This window comes from Homo sapiens, chromosome 9 (genome assembly GCF_000001405.40).
Source record: "Homo sapiens chromosome 9, GRCh38.p14 Primary Assembly".
Classification (NCBI taxonomy): Eukaryota; Metazoa; Chordata; class Mammalia; order Primates; family Hominidae; genus Homo; species Homo sapiens.
In genome coordinates, this window is record NC_000009.12 from 130,560,313 (window position 1) to 130,583,479 (window position 23,167).

The window sequence follows — 23,167 nt, forward strand, 5'->3', positions numbered from 1 at the left end:
ATGACAGTCCTGTGACTGTCTGTTTTGCTCACTGTCTCATCCCCACATCCATTCCCAGCTCTCCAGAGGTTATCTCTGTTATTTTGTGGCAGCTGCCTCGGGTATTTTTCTACGTATTTGCATGCATATACACTTATCCTTTGAAATAAACAGTGTGGTTTGTGTGCATTTGATTTGTTTTCACACAAATGGATCGGACAGATCACATCATTCTACAACTTGCTTTTTTTACTCAATAACACATCTTGTAATTTACCAATGCCAGCAGGAAAAGAAGGAGGGAAGGACCTCAGATCTGAGAGAAGCTGGGCAGACAAACCTCAGGGGTGAAGGCCCTCATTGGACAAACTACTCGTTGGTCACTGGACACTTGTCTTCAGGACACTCCCCTGTGCTCTCCAGAGGCTTATCTGGTTTATCTCTCTTTTTTTTCCTTTTCTTTCTTTCTTTTTTTTTTTTCATCTTTACCACTTCTTCCAGGATAGTTTATCTTGGCAAACAAACCACAATCCGTTCTCTGCATGAAACATCTACAAGTCCCAGGTTCTAACATATGAAAACAGGTCAGGCACAGTGGCAGATGCCTGTAATCCCAGCACTTTGGGAGGCCAAGGTGGGCAGATCACTTGAGGTCAGGAGTTCGAGACCAGCCTGGCCAACATGGCAAAACCCGTCTATACTAAAAATACAAAATTATCCGGGCACTGTGGCACGCGCCTGTAATCCCAGCATCTCGGGAGGCTGAGCCAGGAGAATCGCTTGAACCTGAGAGGCAAAGGCTGCAGTGAGCTGAGATTGTGCCACTGCACTCCAGCCTGGGTGACAGAGCAAGACTTGGTCTCAAGAAAAAAAAAGGAAAGAAAACATCCTTCTCTTTCACTGAAGCATGAAGTGGACTGTGGCTAGTGGGAGGGGGCATCTCTGTGAGGCATGTTTATGAAAAGGCAGTGCAGGCCTGGGCCTGTCCTCAGCACTGGCCCTTGTCAAGGCCTGTTTCCTTGAGCCTGGAGTCCTTTGGGAGCTGTGAGAACCAAAAGAGAAACGGCACACCTGTACATTTACTCATCCTTTTAATTTAGGCAAGGATTCTTCATTCTTCAAGAGATGACAACAAATTTGGGCTTTTTTTTTTCTTTTTTAAGACAGAGTCTTGCTCTGTCACCCAGGCTGGAGTGCAGTGGCACGATCTCGGCTCACTGCAACCTCCACCTCTCGGATTCAAGCAATTCTTCTGCCTCAGCCTCCCAAGTAGCTGGGATTACAGGCATGCGCCACCACGCCCGGCTAATTTTTGTATTTTTAGTACGGCCGGGGTTTCACCATGTTGGTCAGGCTGGTCTCAGACTCCTGACCTTGTGATCCACCCGCATTTTTTTTTTTTTCGAGACAGAATTTCGCTCTTGTTGTCCAGGCTGGAGTGCAGTGGTGCGATCTCAGCTCACAGCAACCTCTGCCTCCTGGGTTCAAGCAATTCTCCTGCCTCAACCTCCCAAGTAGCTGGGATTACAGGCATGAACCACCATGCCCATCTAATTCTGTTTTTTTTGTTTTTGTTTTTGTTTTTTTTTGAGATGGAGTATCACTCTGTCACCCAGGCTGGAGTGCAGTGGCATGATCTCGGCTCACTGCAGCCTCTGCCTCCCAGGTTCAAGCAATTCTCCTGCCTCAGCTTCCTGAGTAGCTGGGATTACAGGCACATGCCACCACGCCCGACTAATTTTTGTATTTTTAGTAGAGACAGGATTTCACAATGTTGGTCAGGCTGCTCTCAAACTCCTGACCTCAGGTGATCCAGCCACCTCGGCCTCCCAAAGTGCTGGGATTACAGGCGTGAGCCACCGCCCCTTTTGTACTTTTAGTACAGATGGGGTTTTGCCATGTTTGCCAGGCTGGTCTGGAACTCCTGACCTCAGGTGATCCGCCCAACTCAGCCTCCAAAAGTGTTAGGATTACAGGCATGAGCCACCGCACCTGGCCTGCCTGGCCTATTTAGTAGCTTTAAGCCACTCCCAAGTGGCTACATCCCAACTTCCATAGGGATACAATCCACATTGTTTTTCGTTTTATGATTCCCCTCACACTTGTTCCCTCCTTTGACATTGCTTTATTGCCCTCTCCAGTTCTCTTCTCTTCCCAAAAGCCCAAAGCAACAATCAGGGATGGCTAAGGTAGCCGGGCTGGTCGTTTTTTTTTTTTTTTTTTTTTTTGAGACAAGGTCTAGTTGTCGCCCAGTGTATTAGTCTGTTCTCAAGCTACTAATAAAGACATACCCAGGACAGGTGATTTATATATATATGAGGTTTAATGGACTCACAGTTCCAGATGGCTAGGGAGGGCTCACAATCATGGCAGAAGGTGAAGGAGGAGCAAAGTCACGTCTTACATGGTGGCAGGCAAGAGAGTGTGTGCAGGGAAACTGCCCTTTGTAAAACCATCAGATCTCACAAGACTCATTCACTATCACGAGAACAGCCTGGGAAAAACCACCTCCATGATTCAATTACCTCCCACCGGTTCCCTCTCATGACACTTGGGGATTATGGGAGCTACAGTTCAAGATGAGATTTGGGTGGGGACACAGCCAAACCATATCACCCAGACTGGGGTGCAGTGGTGCAGTTATGGTTCACTTCCACCTCAGCCTTCCCTGGCTCAGGTGATCCTTCCACCTCAGCCTTCCAAGTAGCTGGGACTACAGGTGTGCCACCATGCCTGGCTAATTTTTTTTTTTCCCCTTTGTAGAGACAGGGTTTTGCCATGTTGCCCAGGCTGGTCTCAAACTCCTAGGCTCCACTGATCCTCCCACCTTGACCTCCCAAGGTGCTGGGATTATAGGCATGAGCCACCATGCCCAGCCATGGGTGGTCTTTTATGGGTCCTTTTTTAGTTTTTGTTTTTGTTTTGAGACAGAGTTTTGCTCTTGTTGCCCAGGCTGGAATGCAATGGTGCAGTCGTGGCTCACTGCAACCTCCACCTCCCGGGTTCAAGTGATTCTCTTACCTCAGCCTCCTGAGTAGCTGGGACTACAGGCATGCACCACCACACCCAGATAATTTTTTTTTTTTTGCATTTTTAGTAGAGACAGGGTTTCACCATGTTGGCCAGGCTGGTCTCAAACTCCCGACCTCAGGTGATTGCCTGCCTCGGCCTCCCAAATTGCTGGGATTACAGGCGTAAGCCACCGCGCCTGGCTGGGTCCTTTTTTTTCTACTCCTTCCTTGACTAACTCATCCCAGTTCTCTCAGGACTTTCCTGGTTTTAGCACTGTAAAGCTCCACACTCCAGGAATCTCTTCCTTCCTGAATGGCTGCTTACCCTACCTACTCCCCCAAGCCCCACCAATCTAATACATCACATGGAAGAGAAATTTTTTTCTTTTTTTGAGATGGACTTGTGCTTTTGTCACCCAGGTGGAGTGCAATGGCGCAATCTTGCCTCACTGCAACCTCCACCTCCCGGGTTCAAGAGATTCAGAAGAGAAACTTCTGTTGGTCCCTGTGGTAGACAGAATTCTAAGACGGCCCCCGGGTTCCTGTCCCCTCGTGTACACGCCCTGCATAACCCTCTCACCTAGAGTGTAGGTGAGATCTGTAAATATGATCGGATCTTGTTCCTGCGGTTAGGTTACTAATCAGTTGATTTTTTACTCCATCAAAAGAAAGATTCTTCTGGATGGGCCTGACCTAATCAGGTGAGCCTTTAAGAGAAGGTGGAGTGTCAGAGGGAAGCATTCACTCCTGCTGCTCCTGAACACCCTGCTCCCATAAATTCTACAGCTGCAAGAAAGGAGTTCTGCCAAAAAACACATACGCTTGGACCCCAAGCCTCAGATGGAACCTCAGCCCCAGAAACACATTTATTTCAGCCTTGTAAGCCCTCAAGAAGAGAGTCCAGCTACACTCTGGCATGACTTATGACCTACAGAACTGTGAGATAATATACCTGTGTGGTTTTAAGCTGCTAAATTTGTGGTTGTTTGTTACACAACAATAGAAAACTAATATGATATTATTAAGGGCAGCCTTCCATGTAAGAGAAAGCTATGTAACTATGGCTAGTTCCTCAGTGTGCCTGAGCCATTGTGAATAATGCCGACTTCTCTCTCTCTCTCTCTCTCTCTTTCTCTCTCTCTCTGGGTAGGCCAGGCACGGTGGCTCACACCTGTAATCCCAGCACGTGAGAAGGCCAAGGCAGGAGGCTGAGGTGGAAGGATCACTTGAGTCCAGGAGGTCAGGGCTACAGTGAGCCATGATCACACCACTGCACTCCAGCCTGGGTGACAGAGTGAGACCTGTCTTAAAATAAATAAATAAATAAGCCAAGCTCAGTGGCTCATACTTGTAATCCCAGCACTTTGGGAGGCCAAAGTGGACAGATTGTTTGAGGCCAGGAGTTTGAGACCAGCTGGGCCAACATGGAGAAACCCCGTCCAAAAATACAAAAATTAGCTGGGAGGATGTGGAGGTACAAACCTGTATTCCCAGCTTCTTGGGAGGCTGAGGCACAAGAATTGTTTGAACCCAGGAGGCAGAGATTGCAGTGAGCTGAGATCACGCCACTGTACTCCAGCTTGACTAATTCAAGACTCTGTCTCAAAATAATAATAATAATAATTTCTACCAGGAGGCAGAGATTGCAGTGAGCTGAGATCACGCCACTGTACTCCAGCTTGACTAATTCAAGACTCTGTCTCAAAATAATAATAATAATAATTTCTACCAGGATTCTGGATGCGTCACTTGACTTCACTGTGCCTGACTTTCTTTGTTATAAAATGGATCTGATGTTCACCTACTTCGCCTTACAAAGATGATGGAAAGGACAAGAGGATAAGAGAGAGAGAGTAATTCCGCACCTCAAAAGGAAAATGAACAAATTCGAGTCCAATCCTTTCTTTTTGTGTAACTCTGTCATAGACACGGACCGTTTTGTCTGCTGGGTAAACACTGCATCAACACAGTGCATTTGGAGAGAATGGTTCCGTCGTTCCACTCCAACTTCATGGTTGATGGGGCTCCAACCTTGGCCACTCTTGATTGGTTTAGGGATGATACCTGACCTTTCTGAGCCAATCGGAATCTTGCCTTGTGATTCTAGAACTGAGATGGCAAAGTCAGTTTCTTTTCAGTAGCTGAAAATGAAGTCATGTAAACTCCTAAGTTCATCTGAGGCTAAGCAGGGCTGTTTGCTCCAATATTCCATCATCCAGGCTGAGGAACAAAAATAGCAGGTTGGCCACAGGAAAGAAGGATGAGGCCAAAAGAGGTACACAAGGCCGGGCGCCATGGCTCACGCCTGTAATCCTAGCACTTTGGAAGGCCAAGGCGGGTGGATCACTTGGGGTCAGGAGTTCGAGACCAGCATGGCCAACATGGTGAAACCCTGTGTCTACTAAAAATACAAAAATTAGCCAGTCTTGCTGGGGCGTGCTTGTAGTCCCAGCTACTCAGGAGGCTGAGGTGGGAGGATAGCTTGAACCTGGGAGGCAGAGGTTGCAGTGAGCTGAGATCGTGCCACTGTACTCCAGATTGGGTGACAGAGCATGACCCCGTCTCAAAAAAAAAAAAAAGAAAAGAAAAGAAAAAAAAGAGGCACATGAGATTTACCAAGGAGAGAGCTGAAGAGAGCACTTCCTGACTGGCCAGCCTTTCCCATGCACCAACCTCAGACTGTCTGTGGTATGCATTTCACAAGCTTCCCCAGCATCACTACAGCACGTCCCCAGCCTTCTTTCCACTCCTCAAAGTTCTATTTTATTTATATATTTATTTATTCATTTTGAGAAAGTGTCTTGCTCTGTTGCCCAGAGTGATCATGGTTCACCCTAGTCTCCATCTCCTGGGCTCAAGCAATCCTCCCACCTCAGCCTCTGGAGTGGCTGGTACTACAGGTGTGCACTACCACACCCAGCTACTTTTTTTTTTTTTTTAATTTTTTTTAGAGATGGAGTCTCACTATGTTGCCCAAGCTGTTCTCAAACTCCTGGACTCAAGTGATCCTCCCACCTCAGGCTCCCAGGGTGCTGGGATTACAGGCATGAGCCACTGTACCCGGCCAAAGTTTATTTCCTGGGGTGAATACATTTTTCATTGTGGTAAAATATAAATAACATAAAATTGGCCGAGTGCAGTGGCTCATGCCTGTAATCCCAGTACTTTGGGTGGCCAAGGCGGGTGGATCATGTGAGGTCAGGAGTTCAAGACCAGCCTGGCCAACATGGTAAAACCCTATCTCTACTAAAAATACGAAATTAGCTGGGCATGGTGGCACACACCTGTAATCCCAGCTACTTGGGAAGCTGAGGCAGGAGAATTGCTTGAATCCAGGGGGTGGAGGTTGCAGTGACCCAAGATCATGCCATTGCACTCCAGCCTGGGCAACAAAAGTTGAAACTCTGTCTCAAAAAAAAAAAAAAAATCCGCCAGTGCAGTGGTTCACGCCTGTAATCCCAGCACTTTGGGAGGCCAAGGCGAGAGGATCGCAAGGTCAGGAATTCGAGACCAGCCTGGCCAATGTGGTGAAACCCCGTCTCTACTAAAAATACAAAAATTAGCTGGGCATGGTGGTAGGTGCCTCTAATCCCAGCTACTTGGGAGGCTGAGGCAAGAGAATTGCTTCAACCAGGGAGGTGGAGGTTGCAGTGAGCCTAGATCGCGCCATTGCACTCCATCCTGGGCGACAGAGTGAGACTCTAACTCAAAAAAAACAAAAAAAATCGACTGGGCATAGTGGTGGGCACCTGTAGTCCCAGCTACTCGGGAGGCTGAGGGAGGAGAATCGCTAGAACCCAGGAAGCCTGGTCAACAGAGCAAGACTCTATCTCAATAATAATCATCATCATAACAACATAAAATTTATCATTGTAACCATTTTTAAGTGTACAATTCATTGGCATTGTTATGCAACCATCGCCACCATCCATCTCCAGAATTTTTTATCATCACAAACAGGAACTCTCTACCATGAAACAATGACTTACCATTTCCTCCCTCCTCCCAGTCCCTGGTAACCTCTATTCTACCTTCTGTCACTGTGAATTGGACTACTCCAGGTACTTCGTATAAGTGGAATCATGCAACACTTGTTCTATTGTGTCTGGCTTAATTTATTTAGCATAATGTTTTCGAGATGCACCCATGTTATAGCATGTGTATATCAGAATTTCATTCCTTAAGGCCAAATAACATTCCATTGTATCTATATGCCACATTTTATTTATCTGTTCATCTGTTGATGGACATTTGAATTATTTCTACATTTTACCAAATGTGAATAATGCCGCTATGAACATTGGTGTGAGACAAATCCCTGGTTGTTGTTTTGTTGTTGTTGTTGTTGTCGTCGAGACAGAGTCTCGCTCTGTCATCCAGGCACGAGTGCAGTGGTGTGATCTCGACTCACTGCAACCTCTGCCTCCCAGATTCAAATGATTCTCCTGCCTCAGCCTCCCGAGTAGCTGGGATTACAGGCGCCCGCCACCATGTCCAGCTAATTTTTGTATTTTTTTTTCTTTTTTAAGTAGAGATGGGGTTTCGCCATGTTGGCCAGGCTGGTCTTGAACTCCTGACCTCAGGTGATCCACCTGCCTTGCCCTCCCAAAGTACTGGGATTACAGGCACAAGCCACCACACCCAGCCCTGATCCCTTTGTCAATCAGCGATAATTTTTGTTTCAGATGATCATAAGATTTCTATCTAATACAGGAAATGAGAAACTGTAACCCCGAAAGCCAGATGACCTCCTGCCTTCCCAGAATGAATAATCCAACCCTGATGTGTCCCCAGACCCATCTGGAATTCTGAATGGGGAAATCTAGGTAGGAATGAAGTCTGGGAACTGGAAAATGAAGGATACTTTTTGTACGATTCCACCAGGGGCCTGGTAGTCAAGAGAATGAGAGTAGTAATTTAAGATAGTGGGGTTTGGCACGTACAAGCTATTTAGCAAGCAGGCATTATGGAATAAACACGCAAGCAGAAGCTCAAAGAGAAGAAATGTTCAAAACATGACATTGTTTTCATCTTTTTAGCCTCAGAACGTGGTAAATTCATTCACACATGATTTGTTTTTGTCTACATTCACTAAGCATCTAATATATGTCTACCAGGACGGAGACTGTTGTGCTAAGCACACCAGAAATGACCTCTGACATCTTGTAACATCCAGTCTAGCAGGGGCTGCCTCATAGTAAGTGTTCAGTACGTGTGTGTGTGTTTGTTTATTTGTTTGTTTGTTTCGAAAAAGGGGCTGGCTCTGTTGGCCAGGCTGGAGTGCAGTGGCGTGATCTTGGCTCTCTGCAACCTCCACCTCCTGGGCTGAAGCGATCCTCCCACCTCAGCCTCCCAAGTAGCTGGGATTACAGGTGCGCACCACCACACCTGGCTATCAATACATATTTTGCATGAAATATTTAGTAATCATTTCTGTATGCTTCGTGGCATTTAATATGCAGCCAGTTTTTGACAAATGTCATGCTTGAACAAGTTTCTCACAATCCAAAGTGAAAAGTCTCCCAGATCATACACAAAACAAAACCAAAATACAATAGCTGGGGCTGGTCGATCTGAAGGGGATATACCCAATCTTGCAAGGGTTTCTTTGGCTGAGTTTTTCCCACAAGCCAGTGAGCTTTGTATTCACAGGCAAAACCCCGCCTGAGACACCTGTCAGCCACCACCATTACTTGCTGCAATAAAGGTATAGATGAATGTTCTCAGACTTTTTGAGGGTAGATTTGAGAGACCACCTAGAGGCCTAAGGTAGAAAATCAGGCCATATCATATGGTCAGAATTGATCCTATTTATAATAGCCAGTTAAATATATGTGAGTAACTCTTCTGTGTAAAGACCTCATTACAATGAAAGTATCTCCAGGCAATCACAAGGATGAGGGGAAAACAAAATATTAAAAATGAAAGTAAAAATATTAAAGGTTTAAAAGCTACAGTATCAGCCAGGCACGGTGGCTCACACCTCTTATCCCAGCATTTTGGGAGGCCAAGGCAGGCAGATCACTTGAGGTCAGGAGTTTGAAACCAGCCTCGCCAACGTGGTGAAACCCTGTCTCCACTAAAAATATACAAAAGTTAGCTGGGCATGGTGGTACACACCTATAATCCCAGCTACTCGGGAGGCTGAGGCAGGAGAATTGCTTGAACCAGGGAGGCAGAGGCTGCGAGCCGAGATTGGGTCACTGCACTCCAGCCTGGGACACAGGGCGACTCCATTTCAAACAAACAAACAAACAAAAAACTACAGTATTAAAGTGCATGGGAGGGAGAACAACAGCTGACAAGAAGTACTAATACAGATACGTGACTCACGCCTATAATCCCAGCACTTTTGGAGGCCAAGGCAGGAGGATCACTTGAGCTCAGGAATTCAAGACCAGCCCAGGCAACATGGTAAGACCCTCATCTCTATGAAAAAACATTATTAAAAAACAATTTCTGGCCGGGCGCGGTGGCTCACACCTGTAATCCCAGCACTTTGGGAGGCCGAGGCAGGTGGATCACGAGGTCAGGAGATCGAGACCATCCTGGCTAACACGGTGAAACCCCATCTCTACTAAAAATACCAAAAATTAGCCAGGCGTGGTGGCGGGCGCCTGTAGTCCCAGCTACTCGGGAGGCTGAGGCAGGATAACGGCGTGAACCCGGGAGGCAGAGCTTGCAGTGAGCAGAGATCGCGCTACTGCACTCCAGCCTGGGGGACATAGCGAGACTCCGTCTCAAAAAAAAAAAAAAAAAATTTTCTATGCCGGGTGCAGTGGCTCATGCCTGTAATCCCAGCACTTTGAGAGACCAAGGCGAGTGGATCACTTGAGGTTGAGAGTTCGAGACCAGCCTGGCCAACATGTTGAAACCCCGTCTCTACTGAAAGTACAAAAGTTAGCCGGGAACTGTGGCAGGTGCCTGTAATCCCAGCTACTCAGGAAGCTGAGGCTGGAGAATCCCTTGAACCTGGGAGGCAGAGAGTGCAGTGAGCTGAGATCACATGACTTCACTCCAGCCTGGGCAACGGAGCGAGACTCTATCTCAAAAAAAAAAAAAACAATCCTAGAAGGCACAAATCACAAATTGGATGGCAGAGTAGCCATAAAGCAGAGCAGAAGCCAAGAATCTTTGCAGGCCGGACGTGATGACTCACACCTGTAATCCTAGCACTTTGGGAGGCCGAGGCGAAAGACACTTGAGCCCAGGAGTTTGAGACCAGGCTGGAAAACATGGCGAGACTTTATTGCTACCGAAATTTAAAAAATTAGCTGAGCATGGTGGCGTGCACCTGTGCTTCCAGCTACTCAGGAGGATGAGGTGGGAGGGGGATTTCCTGAGCTCAGGATGCCAAGGCTGCAGTGAGCTGTGTCCACATCACTGCACTCCAGCCTGGGCGACAGTGAGACCTGTGTCAAAAAAAAAAAAAAAGGCTGGGTGAGGTGGCTCACTCCTGTAATCCCAGCACTTTGGGAGGCCGAGGCGGGCAGATGGTTTGAGGTCAGGAGTTCGAGACAAGCCTGGATAACATGGTGAAACCCCATCTCTACTAAAAATACAAAAATTAGCTGGGTGTGGTGGCAGGCGCCTGTAATCCCAGCTACTTGGCAAGCAGAGGCGGGAGAATCGCTTAAACCCAGGAGGCTGCAGTGAGCCAAGATGGCGCCACTGCACTCCAGCCTCGGTGACAAGAGCGAAACTCCATCTCAAAAAAAGAAAAAAATTCAGGAAATCGACCCAAAAAGGCTACTAGAACTAATAAGTGAGTTTAGCAAGTTTTAGGGATAAAAGTTCTATCTAAAAAGCAATTAGGCTGGGTGTGGTGGCTCATGCCTATAATCCAGCATTTTAGGAGGCTCAAGCAGGATAATTGGTTGAGCCCATGAGTTTGATGGGCAATATAGTGAGACCCTGTCTCTACTAAAAAATAAAAAACTAACCATTGCATGGTGACATGGGGCTGTAGTCCCAGCCACTCCGGAAGCTGAGATGGGAGGATTACTTGAGCCGGGGAGGTTGAGGCTATCGTGAGCTGTGTTTGCACTACTGCACTCCAGGCTGGGTGACAGAGCGAGACTCTGTCTCAAAACCAAAAACAAAACAATTAATTTCTGTACATCAGTAATAAATAATTGAAAATCAAAATGTTAAAACATATCATTTACAACAGCACCAAAAGCCATGAAATATTTAGGTATAAATCCAACAAAATATGTGCAGGATCTGTACACTAAAAACTATAAAACACTGGGCCAGAAATTAAAGACCAAAATTAATAGAGTGATATATAATGTTAATAGATTGGAAGACACACTATTGTTAAGATGTCAGTTTTCTCCAAATTGATCTATAGATTCATGATTTCAATCAAAATCCCAACAGATATTTATTTATTTATTTATTTATTTTAGAGAACAAGTCTCGCTCTGTCGCCCAGGCTGGAGTGCAGTGGTGTGATCTCGGCTCACTGCAACCTCCGCCTCCCAGGTTCAAGCGATTCTCCTGCCTCGGCGTCCGAGGTAGCTGGGATTACAGGCTCACCCCACCACGATCTGCTAATTTTTGTATTTTTAGTAGAGATGGAGTTTCGCCATGTTGGTTGGCCAAGCTGGTCTCGAACCCCTGACCTCAGGTGATCCACCTGCCTCAGCCTCCCAAAGTGCTGGGATTACAGGCGTGAGCCACCACACCCGGCCTAGATTTTTTTTTTTTTTAAGATATCAACAAGATAATTCTAAAATTTATTTGCTAAGACAAAGGAACTTGAGTAGCCAAAACAATTTTGAAAAAGAAGAACAAAGTTGAAGGACTTACACTACCTGATTTTAAGATTTACTGTAAAGCTACAGTAATCAAGACAGTATGGTGTTGGGGAAAAGATAGCTACATATGTCAATGGAACAGTATAGAGAGTCCAGAAATAGACCTACACGTTTGTGGCTAATTCATTTTTTTTTTAAATGAAGGTACAAAGGCAATTCAATGAAGAAAGAATAGTCCCTTTTACAATTGGTACTGAAACAATCAGACACCCTTATGATAACAAAATGAAGCCAGGTGTGGTGGCTCATGCCTGTAATCCCAGCACTTTGGGAGGCTGAGGCGGGAGGACTGCTTGAACTCAGGAGTTCAAGACCAGCCTGGGCAAGATGGTGAGACCTCATTTCTACTAAAAAAAGAAAAAAAAAAATAGCCAGGTGTAGTGGTGCATGCCTGTACTCCCAGCTACTGGGTAGGCTGAGATGGGAGGATTGCTTGAGCCCCAGAGATTGAGGCTGCAGTGAGCCATGTTTGTGCCACTGCACTCCAGCCTGGACAACAGAGCAAGACCCTGTCTCAAAACAACAACAACAACAACAAAGAATCTTGACCCGTACCTCACACTTGATGCAAAACTTAACTCAAAATGGATCATAGGCCTAAATGTAAAACCTAAAACTATAAAACTTCTAGAAGAAAACATAGGAGAAAATCTTTGTGACCTTAGGCTAGACAGTTCTCTTATTAGATAAGATACCAAAAGTACAATCCATAGAACAAAACATTGATAAATTGGGCATCATTGAAATGAAGAACTTCTTCTATTCAAAAGACAAAATAACAGAAAGACAAGCCACAGACTGAAAGAAAATATTTGCAAATCATGTATTTTATAAAAGACTTGTATACAGTATATAAAGAACCTTCAACGTCCCCAAATTTTTTAAAAACCCAACTTCTAAAATGGGCAAAACTTTTGAACAGACAGTTCATCAGAGAACATCTACAAATGGCAAATAAATTAGCAGAGTTGTTTGCTGAAACCAAAGCAAAACAAAATATCAAATGGCAAATAAGCATAGAAAAAGATATTCAACTTCATTAGTTATTAATTAAATGCAAATTCAGGCCAGGTGCGGTGGCTCACGCCTATAATCCAAGCACTTTGGGAGGCCGAGGCAGGTGGATCACCTGAGGTCAGGAGTTCGAGATCAGCCTGATCAACCTGGTGAAACCCTGTCTCTACAAAAAAATACACACACACACAAAATTAGCCAGGCGTGGTGGCACGTGCCTGTAATCCCAGCTACTTGGGAGGCCGAGGTAGGAGAACTGTGCGAACCTGGGATGCAGAGGTTGCAGTGAGCTGAGATTTTGCCATTGCACTCCAGCCTTGGCAACAAGAGTGAAACTCTGTCTTGGAAAAATAAATAAATAATAAATAAATAAATGAACTTCAAACCACAATGAGATGCTACAACACACCTATTAGAATGGCTAAAGTTGGCCAGGCGTGGTAGCTCACGCCTGTAATCCCAGCACTTTGGGAGGCCGAGGTGGGCAGGTCACGAGGTCAGGAGTTCGGGACCAGCCTGGCCAACATGGTGAAACCTCGTCTCTACTAAAAATACAAAAATTAGCCGGGCATGGTGGCACACGCCTGTAGTCCTAGCTACTCAGGAGGCTGAGGCAGACGAATCGCTTGAACCCAGGAGGCGGAGGTTGTAGTGAGCCAAGATTGCGCCACTGCACTCCAGCCTGGGTGACAGAACGAGACCCCGTCTCAAAAAAAAAAAAAAAAAAAAAGGCTAAAGTTTAAAATGCTGACCAGACTCAAATGTTGTCAAGTAGGTAAAGAAACTGGAAAACTGGAATGTTCACATGTTGCTTACAAGAATGAAAAAAACTGAAAAATGGTACAAGCACTTTGTTGTTTCTGTTTGTTTTGTTTTGTTTTTTAGAGACAGGGTCTCACGATGTTGCCCAGGCTGGTCTCAAACTCCTGAGCTCAAGGGATCTTCCCTCCTTGGCCTCCCAAAGTGCTGGGATTACAGGCGTGAGCCACCACGCCCAGCAATAAAACTGTTTAAAGAAATATTGGAGCCAGGCGAGGTGGCTCATGCCTGTAATCCTAGCACTTTGGGAGGCTAAGGTGGGTGGATCATCTGAGGTCAGGGGTTGGAGACCAGCCTGGCCAACATGGCAAAACCCCGTCTCTACTAAAAATACAAAAATCAGCCATGCATCGTGGTGCATGCCTGTAATCTTAGCTACTTGGGAGGCTGAGGTAGTAGAATCATTTGAACCCAGAAGGAGGAGGTTGCAGTGTGCCAAGATTGCACCACTGCACTCCAGCCTGGGTGACAGAGTGAGACTCAATATCAAAAAAAAAAAAAAAAAGAAAAAAATATATGTATGTGTATATATATGTATGTATATATATGTATATATGTATATGAGATGCTAGAAGACAATAAGAGATGCCTTCGGTCTTCTAAAGGAGAATTATTTACAATCCAGAGCTCTATAACTAGCTACATCATTAATTTTGAGGGGCCAGCTGAGTTGGCTCATGCCTATAATCCCAGCACTTTGGGAGGCCAAGACAGAAGGATTGCCTGAGCCCAGGAGTTCAAGACCAGCCTGGGCAACATAGTAAGGCCCTGTCTCTATTAAAAAATAACGTTTTTTTTTAAAGTGTGAAGGCCGAATAGATTGTTTTGGAAAAGTGTGGTACCAAAAAATTTACTAGCCAAATTTACTAAGTTTCTTTGAACTTACTTGAGAGTGTAGCACTACTCTATGGTACCAGCAGGGTGGTACGAGGCCAAAGGTGGAATCGGGGAGATATACAGTCACTTTCCTGTCAACAATGGACAGCATATTTGACGGTGGTTCCATGAAATTATAACACTGGGCCGAGCTTGGTGGCTCACACCTGTAATCCCAGCACTTTGGGAGGCTGAGGAGCGTGGATCACCTGAGGTTAGGAGTTCAAGACTAGCCTGGCCAACATGGCGAAACCCCATCTGTATTACAAATACAAAAATTAGCTGGGTGTGGTGGTGGGCGCCTGTAATCCCAGCTACCTGGGAGGCTGAGGTAGAGACAATTGCTTGAAGCCGGGAGGTGGAGGTTGCAGCGAGCCACAATCATGCCACTGCGCTCCAGCCTGGAAGACAGAGCAAGACTCGGTCTAAAAAAAAAAAAAAAAAGATTATAACACTGTATTTTTACTGTATCTTTTCTATGTTTAGATACATGAATACCTACCACTGTGTTACAACTGCCTACAGTAGTCCATATAGTACCATGCTGTACAGGTTTGTGACCTAGGAGCAATAGCCTACCCCATATAGCCTAGGTGTTGTAGTAGGCTATACTATCTTGGTTTGTGTAAGTATGCTTTGAGATGTTCACATCATGATCCATTTCTCAGAACATAGTCCCATCACTAAGTGACAATTACATATATACATATACATATGCATTCCCTATTAAAGGTAGATTCTAATTTACTCTCAGATGCTAAGACAAAGAGAACTATTCCAATCATTGGATCACTCCTATTGCTCCAAGGCATGCCTGTATCCCTCAGTCAGTGTTGGAGAGTCTTAATAATTCTATTTTTAAATTTTCAGATTTCATGCTGACATGCTCCTTAGTCTGCACTTGAAATTCCAGTGGACACTTGACATTGGAAAAGGTCTGCTCTGGGGACCTGTGAAAATCTCTAAATGGAGAATTCTCTCACTCACGATTTATCGCTATAAGCTATTTCTGCCTCAGAGATATAAACAACGCAGATCTTGGGATGGCAAGGCAAAGCTTCCCCAAATTACAAATGACCAGATGCTGAGGGTCTTTAGGGTAGTTAACGAATTCTGGAAACCACCCATGTTATATCCTTTAAAATCTACTGTACAACATTCTCCATGCTTATTTTTTTCTCTTGATGTATTTGAAAAATCATGTTACTATTCAAACATATTTGCTGTTTCTCCCTGGAGATGGACTATATTTCTCTGCCACTTGATCAGTGCTTGGCCACGGCTTGCTTTGGCCAATTAAATGTGAGCAGAAGTGCCATATGCCACCAACTTCTAGGCAAAAGCTTTAAAAGCCAATGTATGCTTCATACTTCTGCATCTTATTGACAACAGGCAAACATTCTTCAACCAATAAAACATGAACAAAAGTAGTGCCTAGCATTTGAGGAAGAAGCTTTAAAAACCAGTTCGTGCTTTGTCACTCGCTTCTTCCTCTGCCCTGATAAAGTTTAATGTTCCAGACAGAGGCTGCTATCAGCCTTGGCTGAAGAGTAAACAGGACACGTAGTGGAGGCAACACCATGTTCATGTATCCAGTGAGAAATAACCTGTATTGTTGTAAGCTACTGAGGTTTTAAGGCTTGTTACTGTAGCATAACCTAGACTCTCCTCATTGATACAGTTTCATTTTAGCGTGGCTTCTAGTTGGTAATATCTAGAGGCATTGCAATGTTATCAATAGGAATGGTTTGCAAAACTAGTCACAACCACAGTATGTGGATTTTTCTTTTCTTTTTTTTTTTTTTAGACTGAGTCTTGCTCTGTTGCCCAGGCTGGAGTGCAGTGGCACGATCTCGGCTCACTGCAACCTCCACCTCCCAGGTTCAAGTGATTCTCCCACCTCAGCCTCCCGAGTAGCTGGGATTACAGGCACCCGCTACCAAGCCTGGCTAATTTTGTGTGTGTGTATTTTTTTGTAGAGACAGGGTTTCACTATGTTGACCAGGCTGGTCTTCAACTCCTGACCTCAGGTGATCCGCCTGTGAGCCACTGCACCCGGCTTTTTTTTTTTTTTTTTTCGAGACAAGGTTTTGCTCTTCTTGCCCAGGCTGGAGTGCAATGGCACATTCTCAGCTCACTGCAACCTCCGCCTCCTGGGTTCAAGCGATTCTCCTGTCTCAGCCTCCCAAGTAGCTGGGATTACAGGTGCCCTCCACACGCCTTGCTACTTTTTGTATTTTTAGTAGAGATGGGGTTTCACCATGTTGGTCAGGCTGGTCTTGAACTCCTGACATCGGGTAATCTGCCCGCCTCGGCCTCCCAAAGTGCTGGGATTACAGGTGTGAGCCACCACACCCGGCCGAATTTTTCTTTTTTAACCTCTAAGAATCTTTCCCTGTCTTCTTTGGACAAGATCATCTCATTCATTCATTTCACAAATACTGAGAGCCAACCAAATGCCAGGCATTGGTGCTAGGTGGTAGGGAGAGCAATTAACAAGACAAACATAGACCTTATGTCAGCAGAGGCTTTATTCTAGTGGAAAAGGCAGACAATAAACATATAACTGCATGATGATTTAAAAGCAACTGTGATAAGTGCTATAACAAGATGATGAAGTCTAGGGTGTTAGTAGAACAATTAACAGTGAACATGACAAGCTCAGGGTCATCTTCATCTTCTGTGCCCCCAAATATAAGTGACCTGCTCAAAGTTAACCAGTAAAAGAGGGGAAAACAAAACTGTCTTCCTACTTAGGGATTCTCTGGTCTTTGGACCAAACCTTGGAATACAACTTACATTTGGGCCAATAGCCTTGTTTTCCCTATTTATACTCATAGGGAAAGCCAGCTGGAATATGCATGAATCAACATTCTAACCTCAGAGATATATTTCTAAAATTCAAAACAGAAGTTATCACTGATACTTGGTTCAGCTGAACGACTGTGTTCATGAAAGTTGATACCATTGCCATTCCTTGATTTTTACAAGCATAGCAAACTTAAAACGCTCAACACACCCAGAATGGGCAATAAATGGATGTGTTGGCATGGTCCTCCTCGTGCTGGCACTTCAACAACACAGCAAGCTATGTACTTTTGAACAGGGGTTGGAACATTTTTTCTGAAAGCAATCTTCAATCTTGCAATTTTGCCAAATTCTTTTATTTTGCCATAATCTATGAATTATTCTACTTGGCATTATTGAATGCAAAATAAGTTTACTAAGCACCTACTATGTGCCACACCCTAGGGATACAGGGAAAAATAAGTCTCTGCTCTAAAGTAACTCACAGTCTAGGAAAGAAGTCATTAACAAATAAATAACTATACTTTGGTTATTGGTCAAGTATTCCTCATACTTCTTTAGAATGCCCAAAGCTCTCTTGGCATAATGACACAGTGAGGGGTGAGGGTGGGGTCATCAAGGAAAGTTATATGGGACTTTTTTCCCCAAGAAAGGGTCTTGCTCTGTCACCCACGCTGTACTGCAGTGGCGTGATCATAGCTCACTGCAGCCTTGACCTCCAGGGCTCAGGTGATCCTCCCACTCCAGCCTCCCAAGTAGCTGGGACTACAGGTGTTTGCCACCACGCCCAGCTAATTATATTTTTTGTAGAGACGGGGTCTCACTATGCTGCCTAGGCTGGTCTTGAATTTCTGGGCTCAAGAGTTCTGCCTGCCTTGGCCTCCCAAACTGCTAAGATTACAGGCGTGAGCTACCGCACCCGGCCCGTATTGGATTTTATTTATTTCCTTTTCTTGGTGCTCATCCTCCTTCACAACTTCAAGATGGGCATAAGATGTTTGACAACATGGTTCTTCATTAAGTCCAACTCCTTATCATAATAGGGCTTGGGAAATATTAAACACGAGGGCAATCGTGCTAACACAAAAATGGGCGCCCCCTAAACCTTGTTACTTGTTTGCTCACTTATAAGAAGAGCCAACTCAAAGGCTCAACTGAATTCTAGCACTAAGATTCCTTCCTTGCTGTAGAAGATCTGTACCTGGTCACTTCCATTAAAGTTACATAGGCGTTCCAAGAAGCCTCCTGCAATACAGTTGTGACTCAGCCGGTATGGGAGTAATGACGGTCCTGTGGTATTTCCTGCACCCCCAGAGTCCCAGAGTTTGTTAAGGACCGTGTAAGAGGACACCACGCTGGCTTTTCAGTGGGCGCGTCTCTCCTGGGGGCATCACCAGACAACCCCAGGCGGAAGTGGCGGTGGCCCATCCTCATGCAAACTGCAGTGTAAGAACTGGGGCCCGGGACTCCTCGCAAATGTGGGACACTGACATTCTGTGATGCTGTCCCAATGCCCTTTCAAAGCGCTCAGCCCCCAAATTCCCAACCAACAGCCATTTCAGGGAGGGGCTACCCAGGACCAGGCTTTTGATGAACCACGACTGTTCGGGGTGCCGTCTTGGGAGAGCCACGTCAGTCCCTCTGAGATTCCAAACGGCCGACAGCGGACACCTCGGGACCACATCCAAGCCTCGGGGACCTGTCAAGACGCCATCGACGGTCCTGGACCAAATCCCGCCCGGGAAGGGAAGGGTCGCGACCGGACCCTGGAGACCCACGGCTGCCTGGCGATCTGAGCCCACCCCGGCGCTGCCGTCCCGCCCCCACTTCCGATCGGTCGAAGGTCACGTGCCCTGACCCCGCCCCGCAGACGCGACTCCTCCAGCTGCGAGCGTCCCGGCTTTCCCTTCCGCCGGAAGTAGGGCGACTTTCCTTTTCCGGCTACGGGTCCCCAAGCGGAGCGGGAGGCCGGACCGGGGAGCCGAGCGGCGGCGTCGGCGGCGTCGGCGGCGGCGGCGACGGCGGCGGGGGCGGTAATGGCGGAGCTGGTGCAGGGGCAGAGCGCTCCTGTGGGGATGAAGGCCGAGGGCTTCGTGGATGCCCTGCACCGGGTCCGGCAGGTACGGGCGCAGCCGGCTGGCAGGAGCACGAGATCCCGAGGCGGGGCCTGGCGGGCGGGGAAGAGGGGTTCGGGCCTGGGGGGCGGGAGGCAGCCTGAACCGACGTCTCAGCCGGGCCGGGCCGTTCCGTGGAGTTCCTACAGCCGGGAGGAGCCGGGGGGATAAGGCGCCACTGCGAGGCCCAGGCCCGGCCTGTCGGGCGGGTCTCCCAGGTGCCTGAAGTCGCTGGGAAAGGGTTTGCTTAGAGCGTCTGGCCCCATCGTGCCCCAGCGGCCAGCCTGGACCCACAGTGTAGCTAGCGCGGGGTTCTGAACCTCGCGAGGGGAGGGGTCCGGGAAGCCCACGGGGAGGATCTGGGTGTAGACATAAAGCAGCTGTCTGACGCCCAGTAGCTTGTTAAAACTTGGGGAACATCGTCTTTAGACTTTCTGTTGAGTAGAAGGAACTCGAGGGCATCTTATATGTGAGGGTGCTCTTTGGAGAGGTGAGAGAGGGAGGTGTTACATGTGTGGGGGTGGTCCCCAAGATGTAGAAATTTCTCATGGCAAGCTTGCCTCTACTGGGGAGAATGATATGGCCTCATTCCGACATTGAAACTTTACTGTCTGACAATGTCGTGCATTTAATCAAAGTTAAATTAACTGGGTTTTAGAAGGCTCCAGGCTTCCCCAGAGAGTGAATATGGGACCTGCCAAAAATACTTACTGGCTTCTGGCATGGTACTTAGAACAGAACGTGTTCTTCATTTGTATCTAAAACTTACTTACAAGTCAGCCCTAACACTTCAGCTTCCTCGGTTAAGTGTCTTATGTCCTCCTCTCTTCTTATGTAATTGTAAGCGCACTGATACTTTAAAAGTTGGGCTATAACTAATTACTGCTTGATTCCTAACAGAAAGCCACAGGAGTCATTGTATTAGAAGAAGGTCTTCACTCGGGCGCTTGAAGATATGGTCTTTACATCTCTTTCCAGTATTCCAGGGGAGGGAACCCTACCTGTTTCCCTGATAACTGACTTTTCATGTTATATATTGATGCTCCTATAGACATTATATTGGATCCCAGAACTTTCCAAACCTGTGGTTCCACCTAAAATTTTATCTGATGAATTGTTACTTTACTGCCTAGCTGCCAACCAGTACAGTAGTGAGTATCCATCTTACTTAGACTTCAGATCCACCCATGGCTGTAATGGATGAACATGCCACCCAGCTCCCCTTCCACCACTCTGCTTGCTGGCGTGTTACAGTGCTCTCCTCTACAGTACAGGGTCCTGAACCTTGTTTCTCACTGGCTACTAATATGTAATGGCTTTCGCTCTGTGCTGATGTGTGACAGTCACCTTGTTGGCCTTCTATGTCCGGGAAGAATTATAGTCACTGCCCTAAAGGGCTCAGATCCTCAGTTTGCAGAAGGCCTGTAGTTGAACATAAAGTGAATTTTGAACCATTGAGAAGACATTCCGCTTCTCTTGAGCCAGTGGTTGAACTCATATTCTTGGACAACCTGCTCCAGAGGGAGACCCTCTGGTAAATGCTGACCTAATGTGGATTGTTGAAGCAGTGGTGTTTACTACTAGCAGTGAAAACTTCATTGGAATTGTTCTCAGCTCTGAAATGCACCATTGACTGGAGCAGTAATAAGCCCAATGGAGACAGGGCTGTAAGTGTGTTCCTTCTGAATGTTAACAGCTGGAGGTCCATACTATCTCCAAGGATTTGATGGCCTTTAAAAACTAAAGAAAAACCAGGTTGGTGGGTAATTTTAGGTTTATTGTATATAGATTTGCATTGGGCAAGAACGGAATGTTAGAAATCTGTAATACTGTATGCTGATGGTAAACTTACTGTAAGGATCTCATTTGGGTATCTGGAAGGTGATAGTTCTGTTTCTTTGTTATATACACAGCATGTTACAGAGATGTGATTTTTCTCCCCATTAAACAGAACTAAAAGACAGTATATTTATTTAAACGCAAAGCTTTTTCCCCTTTTATGTCTCCTCATAAACTCCAGAGACAGTCTGGAAGGCCCTCTTAAATTTGTCAAAGAGCAGTAAAGTGTCTCACGCTCAGTTTTTCTAGCAGATCGTAATACTCTCAGTTGACCCTGCTGGGATTTGAACCTGCAGTTTCTATTAAGTTTGGTGTGTGAAGTCCAACACCTTATCAACTAGGCTTTCCCTCTGACATCTTGAAGCCTCCGTGTATATCCTTTGGACTCTGCAGCAAAGTGCATCAGTTGTTAGTTTACTCTGAGCATGGTATTCTTAGATTGAAAAGAAGTCTCTGAAGATGTCAAATAAAATGTAAACATTTTCTCCAGCAGTGTGAAGTCTAGTGAGTTAATGTTTGGCACAAGCAGGTAATTTACATCCATTCTATAGGGTAGTAGAAATGTGATCTGGGCAAGTCACAGTGGCTCATGCTTGTAATCTCAGCACTTTGGGAGGCTGAGGTAGGAGGATGGCTTGAGCTCAGGGGTTTGATACCAGCCTGGGCAACATAGCGAGACCTTGTCTCTACTAAAAATTAAAAAAATTAGCTGGATGTGGTGGCCCACCCCTGCAGTCTCAGCTGTTTGGGAGGCTGAAGCAAGAGGCTAGCTTGAGCATGGAGATCAAGGCTGCAGTGAGCTGTGATTGCTCCGCTGCATTCCAGCCTGAGTGACAGAGTGAGACACTGTCTCAAAAAAAAAAAAAGAAAAAGAAAAAGAAAGAAATGTGATCTCATTCAGTTCCATGGATGAAGATCTAAAAACTGCTGGATATTAAAAAACATCTGTCTACTTTTCCCAAGTCATTGGCTGGTTAGCAGAAGTAGTGTTTCTTCAACTAGTTCAGATAAGACAAAATCCTGAGTAGTTCATCCTGTTCCACAGCCGTCCTCTGCACTTCTATACTGACTGTCTGCCTAGGTTACAAGGGGACCTCTGGATGAGTAGATCCAAGTCTGGTTTATGTTGTTCCATTCTCCTAAAAATATTTTTAAATGTTCCTAGAAGGTCTACCATTGATAACTTAGTAGCACCTGTCATCACCCGTGAGCAATCCCTTGTTAGGAGAGTGTGATGCCACAGTGCATTATAGGTTGACAGCAGCCTTCCACAAGCTGGACCAGCTAGCTGTCTGCCAGTCGTCGCCTAAATAGAAATTGTTCTCCGAGAAACTACTAATACTTTTTAGGACTTTAAAAAGCATTAGATCTGTTTTGATCTAGATAGACCCACTCAATGCCTCTGGATTGTATAACTACAGCATATAATGTTGATACAGAATGCAGTCTAAATGGTGCTTCATAGAGTTCGTTCGGCATCACGGTAGCACTACACTTAAATGAGTGTGACCAAGCCATTGTAGAATCAGTAGAAAGTAACCTTTTGACAGATTTTTAGGCCCGAACCTCTTCTTCACTGGCACCTATTTTGGGGAAATGTTGATTGGTGTGGGGCCTCAGAAGTTCCACAGTCCTCCTGAAAATCTCTCCCAGTGCTGCTGTTTCACAGTTTAAGCCTGAGCAGTAGGTAATTTGGGATGTGTGTTGTATACCCTGGGCTGATTTAGAACTTTAATGCTTTAAGATTCTGACTTCTTAGAACAAGCACTAGGTTTCCTTTTAAGAGAACACTGTACATCTACCATTAAAAGAAAAAGCCTCCATTCATTGGCCAGTGGGTTCGCCCTGCGAGGCTCATTTAACACATGGTTTTGACTCCCGG

General features: G+C 45.9%; 1 protein-coding gene and 2 long non-coding RNA genes across 6 annotated transcripts in view, besides 1 other annotated feature; 2 read left to right on the top strand and 1 right to left on the bottom strand.

Annotated features, from left to right (window-relative positions):
- Positions 1-17,037: 17,037 nt before the first annotated feature.
- Positions 17,038-19,182, bottom strand: LOC100272217 (uncharacterized). The gene has a single exon (NR_027440.1). It is a non-coding gene; the product is annotated as an uncharacterized LOC100272217 (long non-coding RNA).
- Positions 19,213-19,582: a silencer, noted in NCBI's record as "silent region_20402". NCBI's record gives its function as "represses an Ori minimal core promoter by ATAC-STARR-seq in GM12878 lymphoblastoid cells {active_cell/tissue: GM12878}" and the evidence as "EXISTENCE:reporter gene assay evidence [ECO:0000049][PMID:35858748]".
- Positions 19,265-23,167, top strand: part of FUBP3 (far upstream element binding protein 3) — a 58,776-nt gene continuing 54,873 nt past the window's right edge. For all 4 annotated transcript variants that reach the window (XR_007061369.1, NM_003934.2, XM_005272232.3 and 1 more), the window contains exon 1: positions 19,265-19,452. Coding sequence is in view for 3 of the 4 variants with exons in the window: in NM_003934.2 (NP_003925.1) it covers positions 19,369-19,452 (84 nt within the window). In the remaining variant the exon portion in view is untranslated. The remainder of the gene's footprint in view (positions 19,453-23,167) is intronic.
- On the top strand, positions 19,528-21,774 carry LOC124902286 (uncharacterized). Its single transcript, XR_007061818.1, has 2 exons — positions 19,528-19,936; positions 20,347-21,774. It is a non-coding gene; the product is annotated as an uncharacterized LOC124902286 (long non-coding RNA).